Source organism: Homo sapiens, chromosome 17, assembly GCF_000001405.40.
Source record: "Homo sapiens chromosome 17, GRCh38.p14 Primary Assembly".
Lineage (NCBI taxonomy): Eukaryota > Metazoa > Chordata > Mammalia > Primates > Hominidae > Homo > Homo sapiens.
The window spans coordinates 6,694,074-6,718,692 of NC_000017.11; the positions used below are offsets into that span (position 1 = coordinate 6,694,074).

Consider the following 24,619-nt stretch of genomic DNA (forward strand, 5'->3'; position numbering starts at 1 on the left):
GGCGATCAGAACAGGAGACTTACCTTCCTCAGTCTGGCTGCGGAAGTTAAACTTGGGCTTCTGTGAAGGCACAATGAATAGCAGGGTGGCCACAAAGATGGCCACAGTGGCATCGGAGACATACCTAGGTGGGGAAAAGCACAGCTCATCTGCGACAGAGACAGTCACTCAACAAACCCATCACAACTCCGGCAGTTCTGTGTCCAAATGCTTCTATGCAAAGAAACAGGCTCACAGCCTTAAAAGTCAAGGTCAAGAGTGGTGGCCAGGTGCAGTGGCTCACACTTGTAATCCCAGCACTTTGGGAGGCTGAGGCGGGCGGATCACGAGGTCAGGAGTTCAAGACCAGCCTGGCCAACATAGTGAAACCCCGTCTCTACTAAAAATACAAAAAATTAGCCAGACATGCTGGCGGGCGCCTGTAATCCCAGCTACTCGGCAGGCTGAGGCAGGAGAATTGCTGGGAGGTGGAGGTTGCAGTGAGTTGAGATCATGCCATTGCACTCCAGCCTGGGTGACAGTGTGAGACTCTGTCTCAAAAAAATAAAAAAATAAGAGTGGTATGGGAGACTGAATCCTGGCTAGAAATCAAGATGCCCACACTCTTGACCACCAACTTTGGGTGATCCTAAGCAGTTTACTTCCCCCTCTCAGCGTGCATTCTCCATAAGTGTATTTCAGGACCTCTTCTTGACCAGGTTCTCTAGAATTCTGTCTGGGTTCACCAGGGTGACCATGAAGACTTTGGTGCTGACCTAAGCCGACCTTCAAAACGAAATGGCCATCATACCAGCATCTCCCTGCCCACATCTTCTGCCTTTTCTAGGATGTACATGTTTCTCATCCTTTCTTCCATTCTGACAACGTCTTAGCCAGGAGAGAAACTACATGTACCCCCTTTGCCAAGTCTCTGTCTATGAAGCTCCCTAGATGTGTGCCTTTGGAGGGATTTGACCAGATGTGAAGATGAGAAAGGGAAGATGGCAGAGCAGAGATTTGGAAACTAGAGCTCTGGGAACCCTACTCCTAGCCCAAGAAATCTCTCTCATCACAGCTCTGGCCACCCTGCCTGGCCAAGGATTTTCTGCTCAGCCTACTCAGGGAGGAGAGGATACCACAGGAACACATTAGGGTCTTATTGTGGAGCTTGGTCAGAAAACAAAAATGAGTCATGAAACCAACAGAGTGCTCTCTGAAACCCAGCTCCCAAAAGAGGAAAAGTCTTGACCAAGCATGAGTGCCTGGCCCACATTCCTCTTGCCACCTGTAGCCGAGACCAGCAGCATTTAGGCACTAGTGCACTAAGCCAGTGGTGTCTTTCTTTCTCTTTTTTTGAGACGGAGTCTCTCTCTGTTGCCCAGGCTGGAGTGCAGTGGCACGATCTGGGCTCACTGCAACCTCTGCCTCCTGGGTTCAAGTGATTCTCCTGCCTCAGTCTCCCAAGTAGCTGGGACTACAGGCATGTGCCACCATGCCTCGCTAATTTTCTGTATTTTTAGTAGAGACAGGGTTTCACCATGTTGGCCAGGATGGTCTCGATCTCCTGACCTCAAGTGACCCACCCACCTCAGCCTCCCAAAGTGCTGGGATTACATGTGTGAGCCAACGCGCCTGGCCCTAAGCCAGCGATTTCTATTGAATCCAAGACTTACTTTGTCTCACCCTCCACCCAGGCAACAGTCAGCCAGCCGGGCATGAAGCCGGGGTCTCGGGAGAACCACAGGATGACCAGCAGGAAGAAGCAGATCAGCACGTTGATCTCCGCGAAGGACAAGGGCCCCAGCTTCCGGTACTCCTCCTGCAGCACCTTGAGGGCAGCCTTCTCGTTTTTCTTGCTCTCTAGCCCGCAGCCCCAGGACTTTTTAAAACTGGAGAATGCAAAGATGAGAGAAGGGCAGGGCAGACTGGTTGGCTCAGGTGCTGGTCAGATGGAGCCTAAATGTTCTACAGCAGAATGTAGCAAAAAGACACATAATGCTGTCCTCGCCTGCTATGGGGCCTGGAGAAAGGCCCTTCCTGCCTCTTTCCCTCTCCTGTTCTTCCATCCCAGAATGTACTAGGGAAAAGTCTCTGTAGAGAGGCTAGAGGGTCTCGGCAGGTGCCCAGACACCTGGAGACTGGCTGCTCCAGGGTCACCTGGGGGAAGGCCATAAGGAGCTTCGGAGCCTGCGCAAGGTGGGAACAGGGCTCCCTCACATGCTTCCCAAGTCTTCCTCCTTCCACCTCAGCCTGGAGCTGCCTTCGATGGTGTTGGGATGCCAACCCCCATCACCAAGGTGGCTCAGGGAGATGCAGGGAGTGAGTATGAACCCTGGCAGACAGGGCTAGTCAGGGGCAGAATGGGTCCTTGTGTTCCCTGGAGTTGGAGGTGCAGGATTAGGGATCCAGGAGACCCTGGGGTTAGCAGCAAGCATGGCTAGGGCAAGAAGGAAGACAGCCCAGGATGGCACCCCCATCCTGGATGGGCCCCCTTGGGACCAGTGTCCATTGTCCAGGGTGTCCTGCAGGGCCTCCCCTAAGGTGGCGTTGGCATGAGGAGGCAGGGAGGAGAGGAGGTTCTTGGAGGAGGTGTAAAGGGGAGCTCAGCTGTGGAGGGGGGATAACTGGGGCCACTGTGCATAGGACTAAGGCCTCAAGGTATGCTGAATATTCCATTCACACATTCCAGTTCCAGCCACTGTTGGTTTGAAGGGGTGGGCAAGGCCAAGAGTATTGTCCTGGAGAGCCCTCCCTCGTGAGAGCCCTTCCGGGGGCCATGAGACATAATCATAGGAGGGAAGGGGTTGATGGAATAGGAGCTCATTCCTGAAGCCAGTGCTGGATGTGAACAGCCTTGGAGAGTGTGAGGGCCAAGTGTTGGTGTGATGGTGGCTTGGCCTGGAACATGGGGACACCAGGACATCAGGTCACAGCTTTCTGGGGTGCTCAGGGGTCAGAAAAGGAGGCAACACTGATGGGACCTCAGGTCTACACGGCTGGCTAGGATCTCCCTGCTGGGCAAGGCCGTGTGTCCTGAGGGTCACCCGCTAGGGACACTCTCTAGACATCCGGCACAGGGATGGCTCTGCTGGTGTAAGACAGGGCCTCTCTGCTGCCACACCCTTGGCTTAGTAAAGTTTGTGCTCTACCAAGCACCTCTCTGCTGCCAACTGTCGTCCTAGAGACCCTGGGGCTCAGCCAGGGGCTTCAGGTTTCCAGCATAAGGGGTGACCTTGGTATTACTAGTGGCCCAGGAGCCAGAGCCTGCATTTGGTGCTGGCAGCTCATCCCCAACACCACAGTAGCTGCAGACTCTGGGGCTGCATGGAGTATGCAGTCTTCCAATGCCAGTGCCCCACAGTGGTACCGCCAAGCCTTCAGAGTCTCTCGTGCTGAGCAGCTTTGCTCTCATCTCTGGGTTAATTTCATCTGGTGATGACCAGGCTGGCATGAGATGCAAGTAAATGGATCCAGTTGGCCTGTGAGGGGCCTAGGTCAGGGTCAGGGGTGGGGACCACAGAGTCCTCCTGCAGCAGAACAGCCTTCACCATGATGCACCATGGTGAACTTGGACTGAATATGTTGCAGAGCCAACAAGAGGGGAGAGATTCTTGAGCTTTGCATGCCTCTGCCCTGGCAGGGGTCCCAAAGAACCCTCATGGCTATTACAGGAGGTAAGCCTGGTTGGGACAGTTAGGTATAACCAGTAATAATATCCCATGTAGTTCTTGGTGGTCCTGGGGTGGGGTCTGGCCCCTTTGGCTAGATATAGCCTAGGAGGCTGCACTAGGCTCTTCAGCAAGATAGTTGTTCTGGATTAGGCTAGAGGCCAAGAACTTAACCTCGTTCTCCAGGATCGTTCAGATGAGGAACTCTAGTGAGAGCAACAGCTGACAGTGGAGCTGCCTCCTGCCGCTGAGACAGGTGCTCCCTGGCCTCAGGTGGGGAGGTCCATGAGGCCACAAAGGCAGGCAGGGACCACCAGGTCTTAGTTTGTGGCAGGACGTGGCCTGGGCCAGAGCACTGTTCCCACCACTCAAACCGAATGTAAAAGCTGTCCTCTACCTTCCAGATCTGGAGCCAAAACAAAGCTGCCGTGAGCTACCCCGGCCAGCCACACTGCATGCGTCCAAACTAGAGTGGCCCGTCGGGAAGGGGAAGGGGTGGGACTGGACTGCAGCCACGCACCCCACCACGAGCATGCTCAGAAGCCCCCTGCTGCAGACACTCTCAGGCTCCCCCGCCAGTCAACAAAAGCTGATGAAGGCCGTGCCAGGCTGGGTGGACTCAGCTTCAGGTTCTGGCTGTGAGTCTCCAGGGGCCTGACATCTGCCTCTGGCCAGACAAGAAGCTGATGGTGCCCTTGCGGCCTCGGCGCCATGCTATCTCCCTCCTCTTTCTCAGTAGGCCTTGGGGTTCTAGGGCAGCCCCGGCCCCAACTAGTGTTTCTGACACCTGGTCATGCTTAGGTCTGGAGGCAACTAAGGACAGCAACCCTCAGCCTCCCCAAGAGGGGATGCCATGCAGTGGGAGCCAAAGGGCCTGGGTTCAAGTCTCAGTCCCCCTACTTCCCTGTTACAAAGCTCTGTGTTGACCACATCACCTCTCCATGCCTCAGTTGCCTTGTCTGTAAATTGGGAATAATAATAATAGTGCTGACCTCGCAGGTTGTTGTGAAAATTAATTAAGTTTAAGAGTGCTTGGGCCAGGCGAGGTGGCTCACATCTGTAACGCCAGCACTTTGGGAGGCCAAGGAGGGCGGATCACCGGAGGTTAGGAGTTCAAGACCAGCCTGGCCAACATGGCAAAACCCCATCTCTACTAAAAAATACAAAAATTAGCCAGGCATGGTGGTGGTGGGTGCCTGTAATTCCAGCTACTTGGGAGGCTGAGGCAGGGGGAATTGCTTGAACCCAGGTGGTGGAGGTTGCAGCGAGCCGAGATCATACCACTGCACTCCAGCCTGGGTGACAGAGCAAGACACTGTCTCAAAAATAAATAAATAAATAAATAAATAAATAAATAAATAAATAAATAAAATAAAATAAAATAAAATAAAGAAAGGAAAAGAGCGCTCGAAATCATGTCTGGCACATGATGAGCACTCAATAAATGTTGGTCATTATTATTCCTGTTGCCCCATGAGGAGACACAGATGCTCACCTGCAGCAGGTTCAGGACCATCTCCTGAGAGACCTGTTCGACGGATGTGAACAAATGAACAGGACTTTGGCCCTGGTGCAGATTCAAGAGGCAGGGCAAAGAGAGCTACTGTCAAAGCCAGGCTGGGTGGCCAGGCAGCCATGCAAACAGTTTCCCCTGCCCCGTCCATGGGCAGGACAGAGTGGGGTTTGGGCAATGATCATTAATATTGTCATTCTTACTATCATTATTATGATTGTTTTGAATATGTATAGCAACTTTTTTTTTTGTTTTGAGACAGAGTCTTGCTCTGTCGCCCAGGCTGGAGTGCAGTGGCATGATCTTGGCTTACTGCAACCTCTACCTCCCGGCTTCAAGCAATTCTCCTGCCTCAGCCTCCCAAGTAGCTGGGGTTACAGGCATGTGCCACCATGCCCAGCTAACTTTTGTATTTTTAGTAGAGATGGGGTTTCACCATGTTGGCCAGGCTGGTCTCGAGCTCCTGACCTCAGGCGATCCGCCCTCCTTGGCCTCCCAAAGTGCTGGGATTTCAGGCGTGGGCTACCACGCCCGGCTAATTTTTGTATTTTTAGTAGAGACGGGGTTTCACCATGTTGGCCAGGCTGGTTACAAACTCCTGACCTCAGGCGATCTGCCCACCTCGGCCTCCAAAAATGTTGGGATTACAGGTGTGAGCCATCGCGCCCGGCCTGTATAGCAACTTTTTAATGGGAGTTTTCAAAACAGTTCCTCCTTCAGAAGAAAACTTAGGAAAATTCCCTATTTTCCCCACAAAATCACAGGTTTCCGTGGGCACTTTTGCCTCTGAGCTCTGCAGTCTCTTCCCTCTGGTCACAAATTCCCCTGGTTTGACTTGGCTCGAACTTCCTGTGGATGGAGGCACAGAGCACAGGCACTTAACTCAGAGCTGAGTACTTTCTATCCTGGTGTGGCCTGATCACCTTTGCACCACAGATAAATTTGTGTGTTTTAGAAAAACAATAACTTTTTTTTAGCTATTTGTCAGCCACAGGTCATGGTTTCTGTCCAAAGTCTGGCTGCCATCAAAGGTGACCCCTGATGAACTTGCCTGTGTGCTAGGAACAGGAAGGTAAACTTTCTAGGACCTGTACACTGCTGGGAACACCAGAGGTATTCAGTAAATGTCTGGGTTTGGATGGATTTGGTCATAATCACTGCTGGTTTTACTCGACTTAAACTCCCCGTGCATTGAGGCACAGAGCGTATGCGCTCAGCTCAGAGCTAAGTCACAGGTTTGCGGTGACCTGGCCTGATGGACCCACACGGCAAAGAGGAAGCTTGTCCAGCAATGTCGAACTGGCACGTGGGGACCAGCTTATCTTTAATTGCTTTAACCTGCCTGCTCTTCCTCCCTGTGCTGGGAGCTGTGCGGGGTGCCCAGCATCAGAGTGGTTCTGGAGGAATTCAAAGTCACCGGAAGCCAAATGCAGATACTAAAGGACAGGCCTGTGATATGCCCAGGGGCCGCTCAGAGATGGAATGGGGGTGGGGAAAAGTCAGGGAAGCAGCATTTGAACTAGCCTTGAAGGCTGAGGAGGTGGGAAGGTAGAGAATGGCATTCCAGGGAAAGGGGACCACGTGTGCACAAAGCTCAGTGAGCAGCCTGGGTTCGAAGGAACAGGAGGGCAGACTAGCAGGAGACAGGGCTGGAGAAAGATCAGGGCCAGACACGAAGGACTTTGTAAACCTGCCTATTGAGTCTGAGGGCTCTTCTGCAGCTTTGAGGCATAATTAGGCATAATTAGGCTGTGAGCAGCTCAAACTTACTTGAATCTCATGTAAACAAACTGGAGCCACAGCCAGGCGAACAGCAGCATCACCAGCATGTTGGGAAAGGCAAATGCAAACCAGGAAGCAAAGTTCACGAGGTCCTTGCTGTCAGGAAACAACCTACAAGAAGACACCGGCCCCCACCTCAGATGCTGAGCTGTGGGAGCCAGCCTGGCCCTGTGCGTGGGGACGGAGCAGCAGCTGGGCCCTGAGAGGCGCGCCTGTGTGGAGGCCACATCCTCCTGAGGTCTAGCCACCAAGTCCATTGCCAAGCATTGTCCCCTAATCGAGTGGGAGCCTCAGAACATGGCCACAGCACAAGACAAGGCCGAGAAATGACCCACTGACTCTTCTGTGTGTCCAGGCCTTGCTAAGAGTCTCATGGAAGTTATGGCCCATCCCTCCAGAAAAATACAACTTTGTGGCCGGGCGCAGGGGCTCACGCCTGTAATTCCAGGACTCTGGGAGGCCGAGGCAGGTGGGGCACAAGGTCAGGAGCTTAAGACTGGCCTGGCCAACATGGTGAAACCCCGTCTCCACTAAAAATACAAAAATTAACCAGGCATGGTGGCGGGCGCCTGTAATCCCAGCTAATAGGGAGGCTGAAGCGGGAGAATCGCTTGAACCCAGGAGGCAGAGGTTGCAGTGAGCCAACATCGCGCCACTGCACTCCAGCCTGGGCGACAGAGCGAGACTTGTCTCAAAAAGAAAAAAAAGAAAAATACACCTTTTATACACATGCATGTAATTTGGCTGACATCTTTGGGGATCTGCAGAGACCTCAGCAATCTCGCTCTGTGGGTTTCTGCAAAGAACGGTCCCCCCACTTAGCAAAGGAAATCTCAAAAGCTTCCCAGAGCGGAGGCTGGAGGAGGGTCACTTCCACCACAGGCCCCGCCTCCCATCCCCGGGGCTCTGCTAGCCCCAGGGGCGCCCCCTTTAGCTCAAGAGTGTCAAAGCAGGCGCAGAGCTTTCCCCACTCAGCCCAGACGGGCTGCTCTTCCCAAAGAAAGTTACTGGAGAACTGTAAGGATATCATTACAGAAAACACTCCCGAAATTAAAACAAACGGGTTGTTGAACCTCACGTTTCTGCCCAGCCAGGCTCCAGACCTGTCCTTTCCACCTCCCAGCTCCTGCGCCCACTGCCCTCCCCACCCCTGTCCAGGCTCCTGTCTGCAAAGGATGGCATCACCTTATTTTTGTGCCTGCCCACTGCAATTAGTACATACCTCAATTAGTACATTTATGTACCAGACATGCCTGGAAGCCCCAGGCATCTTGCCACCCTCAACAGACCATGACTACCCCGCGGCAGGGCCCAGGTTTCTCTCCCTCTTGGGGTCCTCATGGCCTGCATCCCTTTGTGGCCAAGGCTAGAAAGTTCCAAACCATCCCATGGTTCACCTGATACCTCACAAGGGGACTATAACGAAGCAGTGAAGCAGTGAATGACCCAACCCCAGCCCTTCATACCATCTGTAGACCTCGGATGCCATGGGGCCATCACCATTAGCCACCAAAAGCAGTGAGCAAAGGGAGTGCTGGGGAGTCTTTTAGAGGTGTCTATTTTCTACAAGTTTCAACCAAGGACCCAGCGTCTGGAAGTACATTGTCATCTGCCATGACTTTAGCTCAGAGTTCAATCCACACTCCCTCTCTGAGCCAGAGTCCCTGACCCCAGGGGAGGTGGTGGGTCTTGCATCATAGCAGAAAGCAGACTGGGACGTTAGCTCCCCTGACATCAGCTCCCTATCCTCTCTAAGGCTTCTGTGTGGGCACAGGGGTGCCAGGACACAGAGGCTAGATGGGGCCACATCTTTCCACCCCTGCCAGGCTCCCAGGCCAGGTCTGGCTGCCCCGAGGCTTTCCAGGACTCTGCAGAGGAGCAGAGAGAGGTGGGCAGGTCCCTCCAGCCCCGGTACCCACTTCGTTGTCCCCAGAAGGTGCGACCAAGGACTCACTCGTTCATCTGGCCCAGGAGCACCACGTTGGGTCCCGTCCCGGTCAGGGTGGCGGTGCCCCCGATGCTGGCCGCGTAGCAGATGCACAGGGTCATGGCCTTACACAACCTCTTCCGCTCTTGGTCTTCCTGCTGCCCCAGAGTGGGGCCTTCAAAAATCACTTGACTCCCTGTGGTGGGCACAGCGCTGTTAGCTGAGCCAGTCATGGGGGCTGCCCACCCAGCCCCAGGTCCTGACTCTGCTGCTGACCTGAGGATTGGGAAATCCCAGCTCTGCTGATTTAGCTGCCCCACTGGGCTCCATAAGAGTTGCTGGCAGGGATGTGCCCGATTCCTCTCTGTAAGCCCCAGGACCTTGCCCAGGGTCTGGCAATCAGGCCGTCAGCCACAGACCCTGACTCTACTGCACTGGGCTGGGGATGGTAAGGGAACACGGCAGACGGCAAGGTAGATGCTGACTCGTCTTCCCTGAGCTTCGCACCTAGCAGGGAAGCAAGCATGGGACGCCAAGCCCCAGACCTATGGGAGCAGAGAGTGGAAGGATTTGAGCTGCTCGAGGAGGTCAGAAAAGGCCTCCTTGAGGATGAGCAGGAGTAGCAAGGAGTGAGGGGCATCCCTAAGTGCTCGAAAGATGCCCAAATGAATAATCAGGTGAACACACTGATTTCTGCAACTGATGGGAACTGAGGGTGAGACTTTGTTCAAAGCTCTATTAAAGGATCTAAGTTGTGTGCAATAATCCCCTCCTAAAACTTAGGACAACAGTATTTTCTATTTTTTTTTCTCTATGCGTGTTTAAAGGAGGGCTCCGGGAAGCAGACAGGGAGAAGGAGGTGGCCAAAGCATTTGCCAGCAGAGGGAGGGGAAGGCTGCTGTTGTGGCCTGGCAGTGCCCTGGCCAGGGGCTCACCTGGCAGCTCCTTGGCCTTGCCCTTGTCCACCAGCTCCAGGCCGGCCTCGGTGGCTGCGCTTGTGGCTTCCATCTGCTGCAATATGGCCTCCACGATGGGCACCATCATGGCCGTGGTTGCCGTGTTACTGATCCACATGGACAGGAGGGCTGTGACGCCCATGAAGCCCAGCATCAGCCTGCAGAGGAGGGGCAGGGAGGAAAGCCAGAGAATCCCCACCCCACCCCCGTACTCCCTGGGAAGCAACTGGGGACTGGGTCCACCCCTGCAGGGATGCACAGGTGTTGAGGCCAATTCAAGATCAGATATTGGAATAGGGATGACGGTTTTAGAGCCTCCCCTCCCTCCCTCCTTCCCTTCTTTGCTTCCTCCATTCCTCTCTCCCTCCTGCCTCTCCCACACCCATGACTGATGTCTACTCTGCTTGCTTCTGGGGTTACCAAGAGGCCTCAGATCCAGTCGTGGTTCTAAGGAGCACCCCTGCCCCACCATCTAGCAGGGGAAGCCCAGGCATCCAGATGGTGCCAACTCAATATGAGCTTGCCCTAGGGTGTGCTGGAATACCCCTATGTGCAGGCAGCCCCAGCTTCCCACTTCTGGCTAGGAAATTCCCACCCACCCCCAAACTCTGTTGCACCTCTCAGAAGTTCAGAAGGGCTAAGCAGAGTAGGGGTAGGGTGAGCTGGGGAGGGAGCTTGGGAAAGTGTGACTATTCTCCCGGCTGCCACTCCAACCCTGCCATCTCCCCTCCGCCCCGCACATACACTTTGACCCCTCCATGCTGCAGTGGAGCTATCACACAAACAGTATTCAGAAGAAACACTCCCTTTGCTTGTAACCCCTGCTCCCTTCTCTGCTGTCTATCAGGAAGACTCCTCATGGTCCTTCAGAGCCTGCTCAAACAACATCCCTCCTCTGGGACCACGCTCTCAGTGTGTGCACCAGGTGGGGCTGGCCTGACCCTTCTCAATCCTTCCCCCTACTCTAATCATCGCTGTGCTGGGTTCAAAGCACCTGTTTCCATGTCTGCTCTCTCCTTGGGCTGTGAGCAGGGCAGGGCCTGACTCTGCTCTGTGGCTCTACATGCCCCAGCTGTCCAAGGCTAGGGACAGAAGGAGCTCAGCTACTCTCAGTCTGTGGGCCTCGCTGCAGCCAGGCTCCTCCTCAGGGCTCCTAATTCACCTGGGGGTAGGAGCAGGGGCAGGGGTAGGAGCCTGAAGAAGGGACCTAGGAGCTGTTCTGCACCAGGGCCCAAGCTGCTGTCCACACAGGCAGACATTATGGACCCAAAAAAAAACAAAGCCCGGGACCCAGGCTAGGAGGAGGGGGAGAGTTTGCATGAATGGAGTTGTCTGAGAAGAACCAAGGCTTCTACATGATATCTCAAGGCACCAAGGGTGCCTCACATACAGGTGACTCCCAGGACAGGCAGTGCCTTGGACAACCGGAGACCATACTCAGAGGAGCAAGGTGGCAGGAAGGATACAGAAGCATGTGTGAACTTGGGTTTGGAAGTGGAAGCTCTCCAGCATGCTGCAGAATGAAACCCACTGGAGTGGCCTCCCACCCAAGCTGGCCACTCAAGGGAGCCAAGCAGAAGAATTCTGAGGGCCCTGAGGTCCACTTTCCTGGGGTCTCTCATTTCTAGAAAATATGATGGCTTTTGATTTGATGCTAAAGCAATTACTGGAAGGAATCAATGCCAGGATGTGTAACAGATCAGAGAGCCACAAAGTCCCCTGCTCAGGGGAATCTGAGGCACCAAGGGAGCCCCGGGCATGGGTTGCCTGCAGGGCAGGCTAGCGTCTGTGTGTGCTCAGGGTCTAGCACAGCCCCTGACACAGGGGCGCCTCAGGAGGAATTTACCGTAAACTGACCAGCAGCTGACTCCTGATGGCTGGGCCAAGGACGTGCCATCATTGAGGGGACACATTGTCTCAAAAGGAAGATATGCCCTGAGTTTCTGATTAGAGAGGACACAGGCCTTATCAGAGAAGCTGGGTCCAATCCCCGTGTGTCCATGAGCAAATCACTTTATCCCTCTCTGCCTCCAATCCCTCATCCACAGAATGTGGGCAGTAAGAATACTCAGCTCTCAGAGTTGTGGTAAGAATTAAATGAGGCAATTCATAAGCTCCTGGTATCATGCCTGGGGCCTTGTAGACACTCAATATACCCATTATGATCATGATTGATTATGGTTATGATTATGATTATATTGACTCCATGGCTTAGCTGGAAATGGCTAGCTAGATTGGCAGGAGAGATCCTGGAAATGGAGAGAGAAGCTGGGGTACTGAGTGATATCGGGGAAGATAAGAAGCTTCTTTGCAGTGGGAATAGATGCTCCAGCTTGGAGAGAGGACCTTTCTGCTTCCCCATGAGCTGGGTAGTTGAGCCACTTCTGGCCTGCTTCCCTTATCCTATCAGACACAGCTTGATCCAGCCTCTATCCAATTTGTTCCCGGTGGAACCCTGCAGCTAGCTGCCTCCCCCAGAAAGCCTTCCAAGCCTGCAAGGACTCTTGCTGACCCACCTCCTCTGGATTCGAGGACCCTTACTTACTGCTGCTCACCATGTGCCACCACCACGCATGCATCTGGTCTCTCCCACTAAAGCTATAACGCACCCCACCCAGCCAAGTCCAGGTAAGCCCATGGCCAGCCCTCACCAGTGGATGGCCTGGTCTGTGCCATCCTCCACCCCCTTCCAGCCCTGGGGCTCATGCAGAGCCACGTGGCAAGAGAGAGAAGGCGTAATTACCGTGCAGGCTTGGCCCCCACCCAGAGGAGCGTGCGCAGGGCGATCCTCTTGTGCAGGTTCCAGCGCTCCACAGCCACGGCCACGATGAGGCCGCCCAGGAACAGCATGTTGGTGTCCTTCATGTACTGGACACACACCTGGAGCGTGGCACGAAGGCCTCATCAGGACTGTCCCTTGCCACACACTAGAGCCACCCAGTCCCCAGATGCTGACTTCAGGGACAGCTTGGAGTGGGGATGCAGGCTCGAGTGGTGTCTCCCTGCCAGGGAGAATCCACAAATGAGGGTTTTCCGGTCACCCCCAGGCCTGTGCGACTCACAGTGGGGACTAGAGAAAGAGAGAAGGGGAGAACCAGAAAGTCACCAGGATCCCTTGGGTCTGCTCACCTGCCTGGAGTCCAGAATCTGGAAGAGTGGGAAAAGCAAGACAGGCATGAGAGAGGTGACAGCCAGAGGGATGACTTCTGTGCACCAGTAAATGGCCATGAGGATGATGACGTAGGCACACCTGACAAACTGAAGAGACAGTCCTGAGGCCTCAGCGTGTTGCCGCCTCCCTCTCCCCACCCCCAGAACACTCCGGACGGCGGCTGGCATGGATTGTCAAGACACAGTGCTGATCTCAGAGGGATTCCCCTCAAAGTCATCTTGTTCCCCAGCCCTGGTCAGCACAGCTTTCCCGGGTCAGGCCAGGGATCTATTCGCAAAGGACTCCTGCCCCATTCCCACCCCTCCTCCCTGCCTCCCTCCTTCCCAGCTGTGTGGTTCTAGGCACGTTCTTTCATCTTCTCAAACCTTGGATTAGCTGCCTCTCAAAAGAAAAGATCAAGAATAGGACAAGGAAGAAAAGGAGAAAGAAGGAGAAGGAGGAGAAGGAGGAGGAGGGGATAGAAGAAAGAGAGGAAGGGGGATGGAGAAGGAAGAAAAGAAAGGAGGAAGAGGAGAAGGAGAAGAAGAATAAAATACCTGGTTTTTTTGGTTTTATTATTATTTTATTTTTGAGATGGAGTGTCGCTCTTGCCGCCTAGGAGGCCATTGTTCTAAGAGAAGTGACTCAGCAATGGAAAGCCAAATAGTGCATGTTCTCCCTTATAAGTGGGAGCTAAGCTATGGGTATCCAGAGGTATATAGCGTGGTCGAATGGATACTGGAGACTTAGAAGCAGACAGGGTGGGATAGGAGGGAGGGATTAAAATCTCAGACTTCACCACTATCCAATTCATTCATGTAACCGAAAACTACGTGTACCCCTAAAGCTATTGAAATAAAAGTAATAATAATTATGTGATAAAACTAGCCACCTCCCTAGGTTGTTTTATGTTTCATCAGTATTTTTTGTGTGTGTGTGTGTGACAGAGTTTCGATCCTGTTGCCCAGGCTGGAGTGCAATGGCACAATCTCAGCTCACTGCAACCTCCACCTCCCGGGTTCAAGCGATTCTCCTGCCTCAACCTCCGGAGTTGGGATTGCAGGCACCTGCCACCACGCCCTGCTAATTTTTGTATTTTTAGTAGAGACGGGGTTTTGCCACATTGGCCAGGCTGATCTCGAACTCCTGACCTCATGATCCGCCCACCTCAGCACCCTAAAGTGCTGGGATTACAGGCGTGAGCCACCGCGCCCAACCTCAGAGTTCCTTCTTAGATGTCTCCCTGCGCCTCTTCTATAGTCTGGTTTGTGCCCTTCCTCTGAGTACCCTCCCCAGCCATTAGCATATGGAGTTGTCACTGTTTCCTCAACTGTCCTTCTACCACCACAACCAGTGCGTGACTCGAAAGCACAAACAGTACAGTGAGTCCTCACTTAACATCATTGATTGGTTTTTGGAAATTGCAATGCGTAAGCGAAACAACATAAGCCAATATTCCCATAGGCAAATTGCTAGAAACAACAGTTAAATTTCTACAGCATATTTCTGGTCACAAAAACATCACGGAGATCTTAAATAAAGACCAAAACACTTCCAATATTAAACACTGAAGGGAATGTGAGCTATACATATACTTAAGAAACATTGAAAACAAGTTAGATAATTATTTACCCAGTTACAGCAGGTCAGGGTCTTGGGTGACCAGATCCTGTCCCGGCAGCTCAGGGTACAAGGTGGAAACCAGCCCTGGACAAGATGCCATCCCATTGCAGAATGCACACTGACACGCACGCCCACGCTCACTCAGACAGGGACCATACAGACACTCCAATTCACCTAACGTGCACGGGTTTGGGATGTGGAAGGAAACCATACTAGCCAAAGAAAAGCCATGTGGACATGAGGGTAATGTGCACGCTCCACACAGACAGTGGCCCCAGCCAGTAATCATTTTCTTTTCTTTCTCTCTCGCTCTTTTATTTCTTTTTTTTTTTTTTTGAGACAGGGTCTGGCTCTGTTGCCCAGGTGGGAGTGAAGTGGCACGGTCACAGCTCACTGTAACCTCCATCTCCTGGGCTCAAGGGATCCTTCCTTTTTTTTCCCTCCCTCATCAACATTATAATGAAATGATATTGAATGAATCAACATTATTCAAGAACCTGCTGTATTTGTAGATCACCGTCCTCAGCATCCAGAACAGGCCCAACACTTAGGATATCTTTGCAAATTCTTGCTTATTTATTTATTTATTTATTTATTTACTTACTTACTTATTTTTGAGACAGAGCCTTGCTCTGTCCCCAGGCTGGAGTGCAGTGGTGCAATCTTGGCTCACTGCAGCCTCTACCTCCCAGGTTCAAGCGATTCTCCTGCCTCAGTCTCCTGAGTAGCTGGGACTACAGACAAGCGCCACCACGCCCGGCTAATTTTTGTATTTTTAGTAGAGAGGGGATTTCACCATGTTGGCCAGGATGGTCTTGATCTCCTGGCCTCGTGATCCACCTGTCTCGGCCTCCCAAAGTGCTGGGATTACAGGCATGAGCCACTGTGCCCGGCCATCTTTGCAAATGTTTATTAAAGGAATCAATAGCATTCATCTGAGTTTAACTCTGACAATGCTGCTGAAGAACAGATGCACCTGTACACAATCCCTGCTTCTCATCACCCAGAAGAGCGTATGTATTATTTGCACAAAACAGTGCAGGAAGACTTGGAAATTCTTTGTCAGGGTTGTGTTATCAGCCACAAAAAAATAAATCTTTTTTCAGCATCCCACGAGCAAACCAGGGCACCTCCCTACTGGGAGGCAGGGTCCCTCAGCCTCGGCACACTGACATTTTGGGCTAAATGATGCTTTGTTGTGGGAGCTGTGCACTGCAGGGTGTTTAGAGCACCGCTGGCCTCCACCTATGAGATGCCAGTAAGACTGTCTCCAGGTTGGACAGCAAAAAATGTCTCTGTACTTTGCCAAAGTTCCCCTGTTGTGGGGCAGGGTGAGGGCAGGAGAAAGGGTCAATGCTGGTTGACAGCCGCTGAACTAAAGGCGGAACAGCAGCGTGACTGGAAGCCCAGGCTTTGACACCAGACAGATATGATTGGCGCCCACTGTCAGCCACTGTCTGGCCTTTGGCAGCCACTAACTTCCTTGGGGCTTGGTGTCGGGGTGTACCCTGGGCAGGCCATCAGAATGATGCCTCCAGGGGCAGACAATGAGAGGGCGCATTGGAGAGAATTTTAAAACAATAATATTAGCTAAAAATTAGTTTGCTTCTTACTATCATCAAGTGATAGCAATTCTAAACAATGTCGCTCATAAATTACTCCTCCTGCTCCCAATCCTGGTCCCTGTCCCCTCTTGTTTCATGTCTTCATCTGCAAATCGTGGATTTAAGAGTGCTCATTCTTCCCATATGGCGCACAAAGTCCTCGGTAACTTTTGATTCTCTAAACTTAGAAGCAGTAGGTGGCGTGCGTCACCAATGTACACTGTGCGTTCCTGGAGGAGTCAAGCAGACCCACTAGGAAAGAGGACGAGACACAAGGTTAACTGCCCCCTCACCTCCGCGCCACTATTTAGAAGCCCAGGAGGTGCCTCATCCCTGAAGTCAACAGGCTTGACCCCCCTAGTCTAGAATGCCTCCACAGTGTCAAGGGAGAGGGCAGGATGGGAAGCGGATGTTAGAAAAGTTCAACATTAACAAGGCAGGGTGTCCTGACACACCACTTAATGAAAAAATGCAGGCAAAACCTACTGTGTGTGTGTGTGTGTGTGTGTGTCTGGGAAGAGAGAGAGAGATTCATCTGGAAAGATGTTCATCAAAATGTGAATAACTTATGGGATTTGAGTGTACTTTTATTTTTACTTTATATCTTACAGATTTGCAAAAAAGAAACCTTTTACATTTTAATAAAATAAGTGATACAAGAAATCTATCATTTATTTCATTAAATTTTTTTTCAATTAAAAAAAGACCCAGAGGAAGGATAGAGAGAGTGGAGCAGAGATGAGGCCAGGAGGGAATCCAGGTGGAGACAGGAAAACTGGAGACAGTCGGTGAGGAGAGAGGCCTGGGTGTTGGCAGAGGGTGGCGTGCCCTGGGAGTCACCTCCTGGCAAGGACTGTGTTGCTCAGGCTGCCAAGGTCCTCCCAGCTTCTCACCAGCTTCCCAGCTGCCCTGCCCGTGCTGTGTACCCTCTGGGTTTCCTTGCACAATGGGGCGGCCATGGAGGGTGGGGGCAGGGTGACCAAAACAGGCAGAAAGGGAAAAAACAAGAAGACAAGGTCCAGGGTCCTCACCCAACCCCGCCAGAAGGAAAGCTCGTGAAGGCAGCCTTTGGAAGGACTCTCCCTGGGTTCTCTTCTTCCCCTCCCTGGTCCTCACTCAAAGGACAGCTTAATCTCTCTCTCTCTCTCTCTTACACACACACACATACACACACATACACACACACTGAGTTAGGGTTTCCAGTTCAGGGTGTGTGTGTGTGTGTGTGTGTATGTGTATGTGTGTGTTTGTGTTTTTTGTGTGTTTTGTGTGTGTGTTTGTGTGTGTGTTTGTGTGTCTGTGTTTGTGTGTTTGGGTGTGTGTTTGTGCGTGTGTTTTTGTGTGTGTTTGTGTTTGTGCGTGTGTTTTGTGTGTGTCTGTGTGTTTGTGTGTGTGTCTGTGTGTGTTTGTGAGTGTGTGTGTGTGAGAGAGAGAGTGTGTATGTGTGTGTGTGTGAGTGGGGTCTCCTGTGGCAGGAAGGTCAGCCAAGCTACTATAATCATTCCAGGGAACATCACTCCCTACCAGCAGAGCTGAAATCGCAGCTCTCCTGCCTGGCTACTTCCCCTGGACAATAACAACCCCAGACTTCTTGCTACAGAGGAAGTGTGGCTGCCCACAGTTGGTGTGGCAACTGCACAGCCTCCACAGTTGGATCTGCTGTCCTTGACCCATCCAGGGCCTGTGCTAGGCCCACCCAAGGGCTCCTCCCAGTCTCCCCCTCCCCCATCCTAGGAACTAACGTTAATCCCTTTTGATTCCCAAAGCCTTAAAGTGTCAGAACCAAACCACCTAGCCCCATTGTACAGATGAGAACACCAAGGCCCAGAGAGCACAGGCACTTGGCTAAAGTCACACAGATGACAGAATGGTGGAAGTCCAGTTCTCTTGCAGGTTGGCTTCCTGACACCCCAGTGCACTCCCTTCCTCTAGAGCTCCCCCCCAGAGCATCCCCTGAAGAGCTCCTCTGTTTCCCAAACCTGCCTGGGGAGGGGAGGTGGGGAGCTGGAGGTTTCCTGTCTGGGCTGAGAGTGAAAGGGCTGAAAGAAGGAACGAGGAAGGAGCAGCCAGCAGCCACAAAAGGCTTCAAAGGGCTTGGGCCTCCGCCAAACTGGCTGTGCACAGCCCAGTGGAGCCTGCGCCCACCCTGCGGCCAAGGCCATTCATTCTCTCTCTCCCTCACAGAAGCATTAGGAGACTAGGGCCTGGGAGGAAGCTTCCCTGCAACTCCAGGTCCTGCCACCCAAGGCGCGAGCTCTGGGAATGTGTCCCGCCTCCTGCTACAGCCCCAGCAGGCAGGAGGCAAAGCAGGCCAACCCCAACCTGCCTGCAGCCTGGAGCAGGATTATGAATCAGATGTGGCTCTCCAGGTTGGAAGGAATGTGGATCATAGATAGAGACACTAAGGCCCAAGGAAGGGCCAGAGAGTGGCAAAGACAGCGCAGGATCCACGTGGGTGATGATTTTTTTCCTGTAGGTCCCTCCTGACGGCAGAAGCCACCTACAGCTTGAAGTCTTCTTTGGCGAAGGGAAAAGACAGGAGAGAGAGAGGGAAAGGCAAGCTCCCAGGTTCCCTGTTGGCGCAGGTGGCATTTTGGGGGGAAACAGGGTTATGCACTGTGGGAGATTCGATTCGGAGCCAGGGGCTGAGCCTAAGGCTGGGATCTGTGTGGCTGAGATCTGTGCTCACTTCGAGGTTTCCGTGCTTGCCTGGACGGCTCTTGCGCCCTGGGATCTGTAAACCCCAAGGGTGGTGCGCCCTGGGGTCGCCATGCCCCTCAGATTCTTTACAGGGCACCTCCCATCCGGCACCTGGAGCTCCTGAGTGCGCGCGCCCCGGGAGAGCTGTGCTCCCCGCGAAATCCGTGCGCTCCAGCTCAGGGCTCCCGGGATCGGTGCCCGTTAGTGGGCACAGGACGCCGGGTGTCCGAAGGGCTGCCTGGAGATGCAACTGACCTTGGCGGGCATCAGAATGACGAGTGGCAGCAGCAGGAGCGGGGTGACGAACAAGATCACGAAGGACTTGAACTTGGAGACATAGCTCAGCGCCGAGGCCATCGCGCGGGAGGGAGACTGGCGGGCGAGACGAGTGAGGGGCAGCTAGAGGCGCCGCGGGCTTAAGAAGGGGCCACAGTCCCCGGGGATTGGGGAGGGGGCGGTGACAACTCCGCCCCGCACGGGGGCGCCTCCCCGCGGCCCTGGGGCGGGGCCACCCCTCGGGGTCTGTGGGACGCGCCTGCCCCCAATTCTGCCACCCGGCGGCGGTGGGAGGCGTCTTTGGACTCCAACGCTTCGGGCCAGCCCTCTAGGGGCAGCCTGGGCCCTAGCATCTCGCGCTGTCCAAGCCTCTCCTGCGCTGCCGAGGCAGAGGTGCGTCCCGGGGCTGCCAAGCGGGGCGTGTTTTGGTCACTGGTGCTGCCCGCTTTGGCGTAAGGCGCCCTCCCGCGTCCGCATCTGCTCTTTCCTGGGCTCTGAAGGGTCCCGGATGAAACTCTCTGCAGGCCTCTGGGTCTCTCAGGTCTATCTCCCCGATCTCCCTCTCCTTTCCATCTCCTTACTTCCGCCCCTCCGGTGTCTCTCCGAGAGGTGTCCCCCCACGCCCCGCGCCCTCCGCACCGCGGGCCTCGCTTCCCGGTCCCCCCTGGCTTCCTCGCCACGTCCGCCCCACTCTAGGTGCAGGACCCCTTTTCCCCGCTCGCACTCTCCGGCCCGGAGCTCCTGGGCGATCGCACAGGGAAGCGAGGCCACTGTCCTCCTCTGTCCCAGGGGCTGTCGCGCTCCAGTGGACGCTGCACCCCGCAGACGCCCGGCGGGCAGATGCGGACACGCGTCTTGGAGGGGCCCCACCGAGCCTCAGCAGCCGCAGCTGCCCGCCCGACCCAGGTCAGAGGGAAACGGAGCTCTAGAGAGGAAGGGACACAACTAAGGCGACACTGAGACAGTCGCCCATGTATTCATTCAGCCCGCCAGGCAACAGACAGGTGCCGAGCACCTCTTCTCCGCGAGGCCCTGTTTTGGGCACTGGAGACACACGGATGCAAAGACATCCCCACCTCTGTGATTTTCTTCTTTCCTCTCCTCTGCCTGCCTCTCATTCTGCAGCTTCCTTTTGGGGAGTCTCATCCATGCTGGTGGCCTAACCACAGCCGGCTCCTTAGTGATTACCATCCTCTGCCTTCAACCCAGCCATGATGCCAGAGTCCCAGATGTCCAGCCTTCCGCAGACTGGACGTGTCTCGGCCCGAAAATTCAACACATCCTGAATCAAGCTCATGAGTTCCTTCCTGTGACCTGCACCCAAGGACATGCATTCTCCCAAGCCCCTCCTGCAATTGCCTCCCTCCTGTCCTTTTCCCTTTGTAACTCTCATGCATATAGCCCTGGGTTTTCCCGCCTTTCCTGTGTCCCCAGGGCACTTAGCACAATTTGTACCTCTTATATTTATTGGTGTAATTTTTACTTTTTACTTTTTTATTTTTTAAGTGTTATTTCATTTTTAATTGACAAATCATTGTCTATATTTACGGGGTACCATGTGATTTTTCAATGTGTGTATAATTGTGGTGTGTTCAAATCAGGCTAATGAGCATATTTATCACTCGAATATTTATCATTTCTCTTGTTTTTGTTTTTTGTTTGTTTGTTTGAGACAGAGTTGTGCTCCTGTCACCCAGGCTGGAGTGCAGTGGCACGATCTCGGCTCACTGCAACCTCTGCCACCTAGGTTCAAGCAAATCTCCTGCTTCAGCCTCCCAAGTAGCTGGGATTACAGGTGTGCACCACCACGCCCGGCTAATTTTTTGCATTTTTAGTAGAAATGGGGTTTCACCATGTTAGCCAGGCTGGTCTCGAACTCCTGACCTCAGGTGATCCGCCCACCTCGGTCTCCCAAAGTGCTGGGATTACAGGCGTGAGCCACCGCGTCTGGCCCAAATATTTGTCATTTCTTTGTGGTGAGAACATTTAAAATATCTTGTAGCTATTTTAAAATATATGACACATTATTATGATGTAATTTCTATTTACTGTCTGTTTTATTCATCACCACCTGTCCAGCTAGTGCCTTTCTCAGTGCCTAATCCAGGATGTGCACTCAAACCTTTTTCTCCGGGATGCATGAATGAGAGCAAGTAAACAACTTCAGTTCTTTTTTCTTTTCTTTTTTTTTAATTTTACTTTAAGTTCTGGGATACATGTGCAGAATGTGCAGGTTTGTTACATAGGTATACATGTGCCATGGTGGTTTGCTGCAGCTATCAACCGGACATTTAGGTTTTAAGACCCACATGCATTAGGTATTTGTCCTAATGCTCTCCCTCCCCTTGCCCTCCAACCCCCTGACAGGCCCCCGTGTGTGATGTTCCCCTCCCTGTGTCAATGCGTTCTCACTGTTCAACTCCCACTTATGACTGAGAACATGTGGTGTTTGGTTTTCTGTTCCTGTGTTAGTTTGCTGAGAATGATGGCTTCCAGCTTCATCCATGTCCCTGCAAAGGACATGACCTCATTATTTTTAATGGCTGCATAGTATTCCATGGTATGTATGTGCCACATTTTCTTTATCCAGTCTATCATTGATGGACATTTGGGTTGGTTTTAAGTCTTTGCTATTGTAAATAGTGTGCATGTGTCTTTATAGCAGCATGATTTATAATCCTTTGGGTATATACCCAGTAATAAAATTGCTGGGTCAAATGATATTTCTGGTTCTAGATCCTTGAGGAATCGCCACAGTGTCTTCCACAATGGTTGAACTAATTTACACTCCCACCAACAATGTAAAAGTACAACTTCTGTTCTTAATACAACTGCTTCCAAAGGGATTCACCAGAGCATGGACTCTGAGGCTAGAGTTCCTGGGCTTATATCTTGCCCTAGCTCATCCTGGCTGTGTGCCTCAGACAAGTTGCTCTCTATGAGCTTATCCTGTCATAAATGGAGATAATAGCACCAACTTTGATTTTAAATGGCTGTTTTGGAGATTATATGAGTTCATGGTCAGAGCTTAACTCAGTGCGTTGGCATATAGTCAGCTGTTAGTAAATATCCATTCTTGCAATTGTATGCAAAATACCCTGGTTGGTGAGGCCTTAAGAGAAGGATCCACCAACTCTGCCTAAGTAATGAAGGAAGGTTTCACAGAGGAGGTGGCAGAGCTTGCAGTGAGCCATGATCGCACCACTGCACTCCAGCCTGGGTGACAGAGCCAGACTCCGTCCCCCTGCAAAAAAAAAAAAAAAAAAAAAAACTTAATGGCTAAGTAATAATTTGCCAGGCAGCAGTGGAGGATAGTCAAAGTTAGCACCAAATGAAAAAGAATATTAAGATTGTTAAGAAAAATTCCAAGGCCAAAGTGCTACAACAACAACAAGCTAAATAAATGGAGAGATTATACCAAGTTCACGGATAGGGAGACCACACATTGTAGGACTATCCATTTCTCTCAAATTAACCTATAAATTCAATTCAATTCCAATTAAAATCCCAACAGGATTTTTAGTTAACAAGCCTAAAATTCAGGTAGAATAGCAGGTAAGCCAAGAATAATTACGACACTTCTGGAAAAACACGGGGGAAATTGCCATTTAGACTTCAAGAATGACTAACTTGTAATAGTTGATGTAATCATTAACTATTGACATGAGGTTAGAAAAAGAGTAGAATAGAGCCTAGAAATAGACCCATGGTTGCATGGAAACTTTATTTACAACAGAGATTGAGTGATCTATCCAAAGTGTACTCTCAGTTGCTGGATCAATTAGTTTTTAGCAATATAGACATTTTTCTTTCACTAAGTATGCTAAATACATGTAGGAGAAGTTTGAGCATAATTTCTAATAATAAGGTTATTTCTGATTTTTTTTTTTTTTTTTGAGATGGAGTCTCACTCTGTCACCCAGGCTGGAGTGCAGTGGCACAATCTCGGCTCACTGCAACCTCCGCCTCCCGGATTCAAGCAATTCTTCTGCCTCAGCCTCCCGAGTAGCTGGGACTACAGGTGCGTGCCACCACGCCTGGCTAATTTTTTTTTTTTTTTTTTTTGTATTTTTAGTAGAGATGGTGTTTCACCATATTGGCCAGGCTAATCTCGAATTCCTGACCTCATGATCTGCCCACCTCGGCCTCCCAAAGTGCTGGGATTACAGGCATGAGCCACCGCGCCCAACCTATTTCCGATTTTTTAATTTATGAGTCTTATTTAATTATTCCCAAGAGCTGAACATGAGTTCAATTTATGCACACAGATTTTTTTACGAAAGAAAAGCCCTGCCTGTTGTCATACTTCTACTTCACAGATAACTTAAAATTTTAGCCACATATTTCATTGCACTATAAAAAATGAAGTAATGAAAAAGAAAGTGCATCCGAATTTAGATCTTGTATTGGTAACTTACCATAAAATGCATAAAGTATATTAGATCACGATAATTTTGTCTTGATGTGGCTACTTTTAGTAACCTATTAAGGGAGGAGACCACCCCTCATATTGTCTTATGCCCAATTTCTGCCTCCAAAGAAAGAAGTAAAAACTAAAAGGCAGAAATGAAATCCACAGGCAGACATACCAGCGCCATGCCCTGGGCCTGGTAGTTAAAGATCCACCCCTGACCTAACCGGTTATGTTGTCTATAGATTCCAGGGATTGTAAAAATCCCTGTCCTGTTCTGTTTTGTTCTGATTACCGGTGCATGCAGCCCCCAGTCACATACCCCCTGCTTGCTCAATCGATCACGACCCTCTCACGCGCACCCCCTTAGAGCTGTGAGCCCTTAAGAGGGACAGGAATTGCTCACTCGGGGAGCTCGGCTCTTGAGACAGGAGTCTTGCCAATGCTCCTGGCCGAATAAACCCCTTCCTTCTTTAACTCGGTGTCTGAGGTGTTTTGTCTGCGGCTTGTCCGGCTACACTATTGTCAGATTGTCTTCTGAATTTCTCAGGTCTTACAACAGTATTTCTAAAAATATAAATCCAAACATTAGAATATACTTCTCGAACACAAAAATAAATTATTCCCTAACTTACAGTATGTTACTGATCTACATAAAACTATTTGGGAATATTTAGTTATAATGGTACATAGTATGTAACTGTGTGATGCAACTTTTTTCCCCACTTGAGAATCATTTAATACAATTTTAATCTTAAAACTGAGAGAGTAAAAACCTACTTTTTGGTATAGAAATTCTAAAATGTGGCGTGTTACATCCATTTGACCTCAGGTTCCCTTTGCAGTTATTGGAGAAATGGTAGATGGCAACCCTCTGTACTATTTTGTAACACCTGATGAGTGAAACTATTTCAAAATAAAAAGCAGTTTTAATTTGTGGCAAATAAAAAATATACCTCAGACTGATGAATTCAATTCTTTCCAGCTTTTTTATTTTTTATTTTTATTTTATTATTATTTATTTATTTA

General features: G+C 51.4%; 1 protein-coding gene across 5 annotated transcripts in view, besides 2 other annotated features; it reads right to left on the minus strand.

The window, feature by feature from the left end:
- Positions 1-19,296, minus strand: part of SLC13A5 (solute carrier family 13 member 5) — a 28,651-nt gene extending 9,355 nt beyond the window's left edge. For 3 of the 5 annotated variants that reach the window (NM_001143838.3, NM_177550.5, XM_011523795.4), the window contains exons 1-8: positions 19,159-19,296; positions 12,955-13,083; positions 12,569-12,705; positions 9,805-9,983; positions 8,897-9,065; positions 6,931-7,053; positions 1,653-1,868; positions 24-124 (exon numbers count right to left, since the gene is read on the minus strand). In NM_001143838.3, coding sequence (NP_001137310.1) covers positions 24-124; positions 1,653-1,868; positions 6,931-7,053; positions 8,897-9,065; positions 9,805-9,983; positions 12,569-12,705; positions 12,955-13,083; positions 19,159-19,260 — 1,156 coding nt within the window. In that variant the 5' untranslated portion in view covers positions 19,261-19,296. The remainder of the gene's footprint in view (positions 1-23; positions 125-1,652; positions 1,869-6,930; positions 7,054-8,896; positions 9,066-9,804; positions 9,984-12,568; positions 12,706-12,954; positions 13,084-19,158) is intronic. The other 2 variants (NM_001284509.2, NM_001284510.2) reach the window with 2 other exon arrangements.
- Positions 6,876-7,788: an enhancer, noted in NCBI's record as "H3K4me1 hESC enhancer chr17:6604268-6605180 (GRCh37/hg19 assembly coordinates)". NCBI's record gives its function as "activates a minimal SCP1, AML or CMV promoter by ChIP-STARR-seq in naive H9 embryonic stem cells {active_cell/tissue: H9 hESC(naive)}" and the evidence as "EXISTENCE:reporter gene assay evidence [ECO:0000049][PMID:30033119]".
- Positions 8,937-9,647: an enhancer, noted in NCBI's record as "H3K27ac-H3K4me1 hESC enhancer chr17:6606329-6607039 (GRCh37/hg19 assembly coordinates)". NCBI's record gives its function as "activates a minimal SCP1, AML or CMV promoter by ChIP-STARR-seq in naive H9 embryonic stem cells {active_cell/tissue: H9 hESC(naive)}" and the evidence as "EXISTENCE:reporter gene assay evidence [ECO:0000049][PMID:30033119]".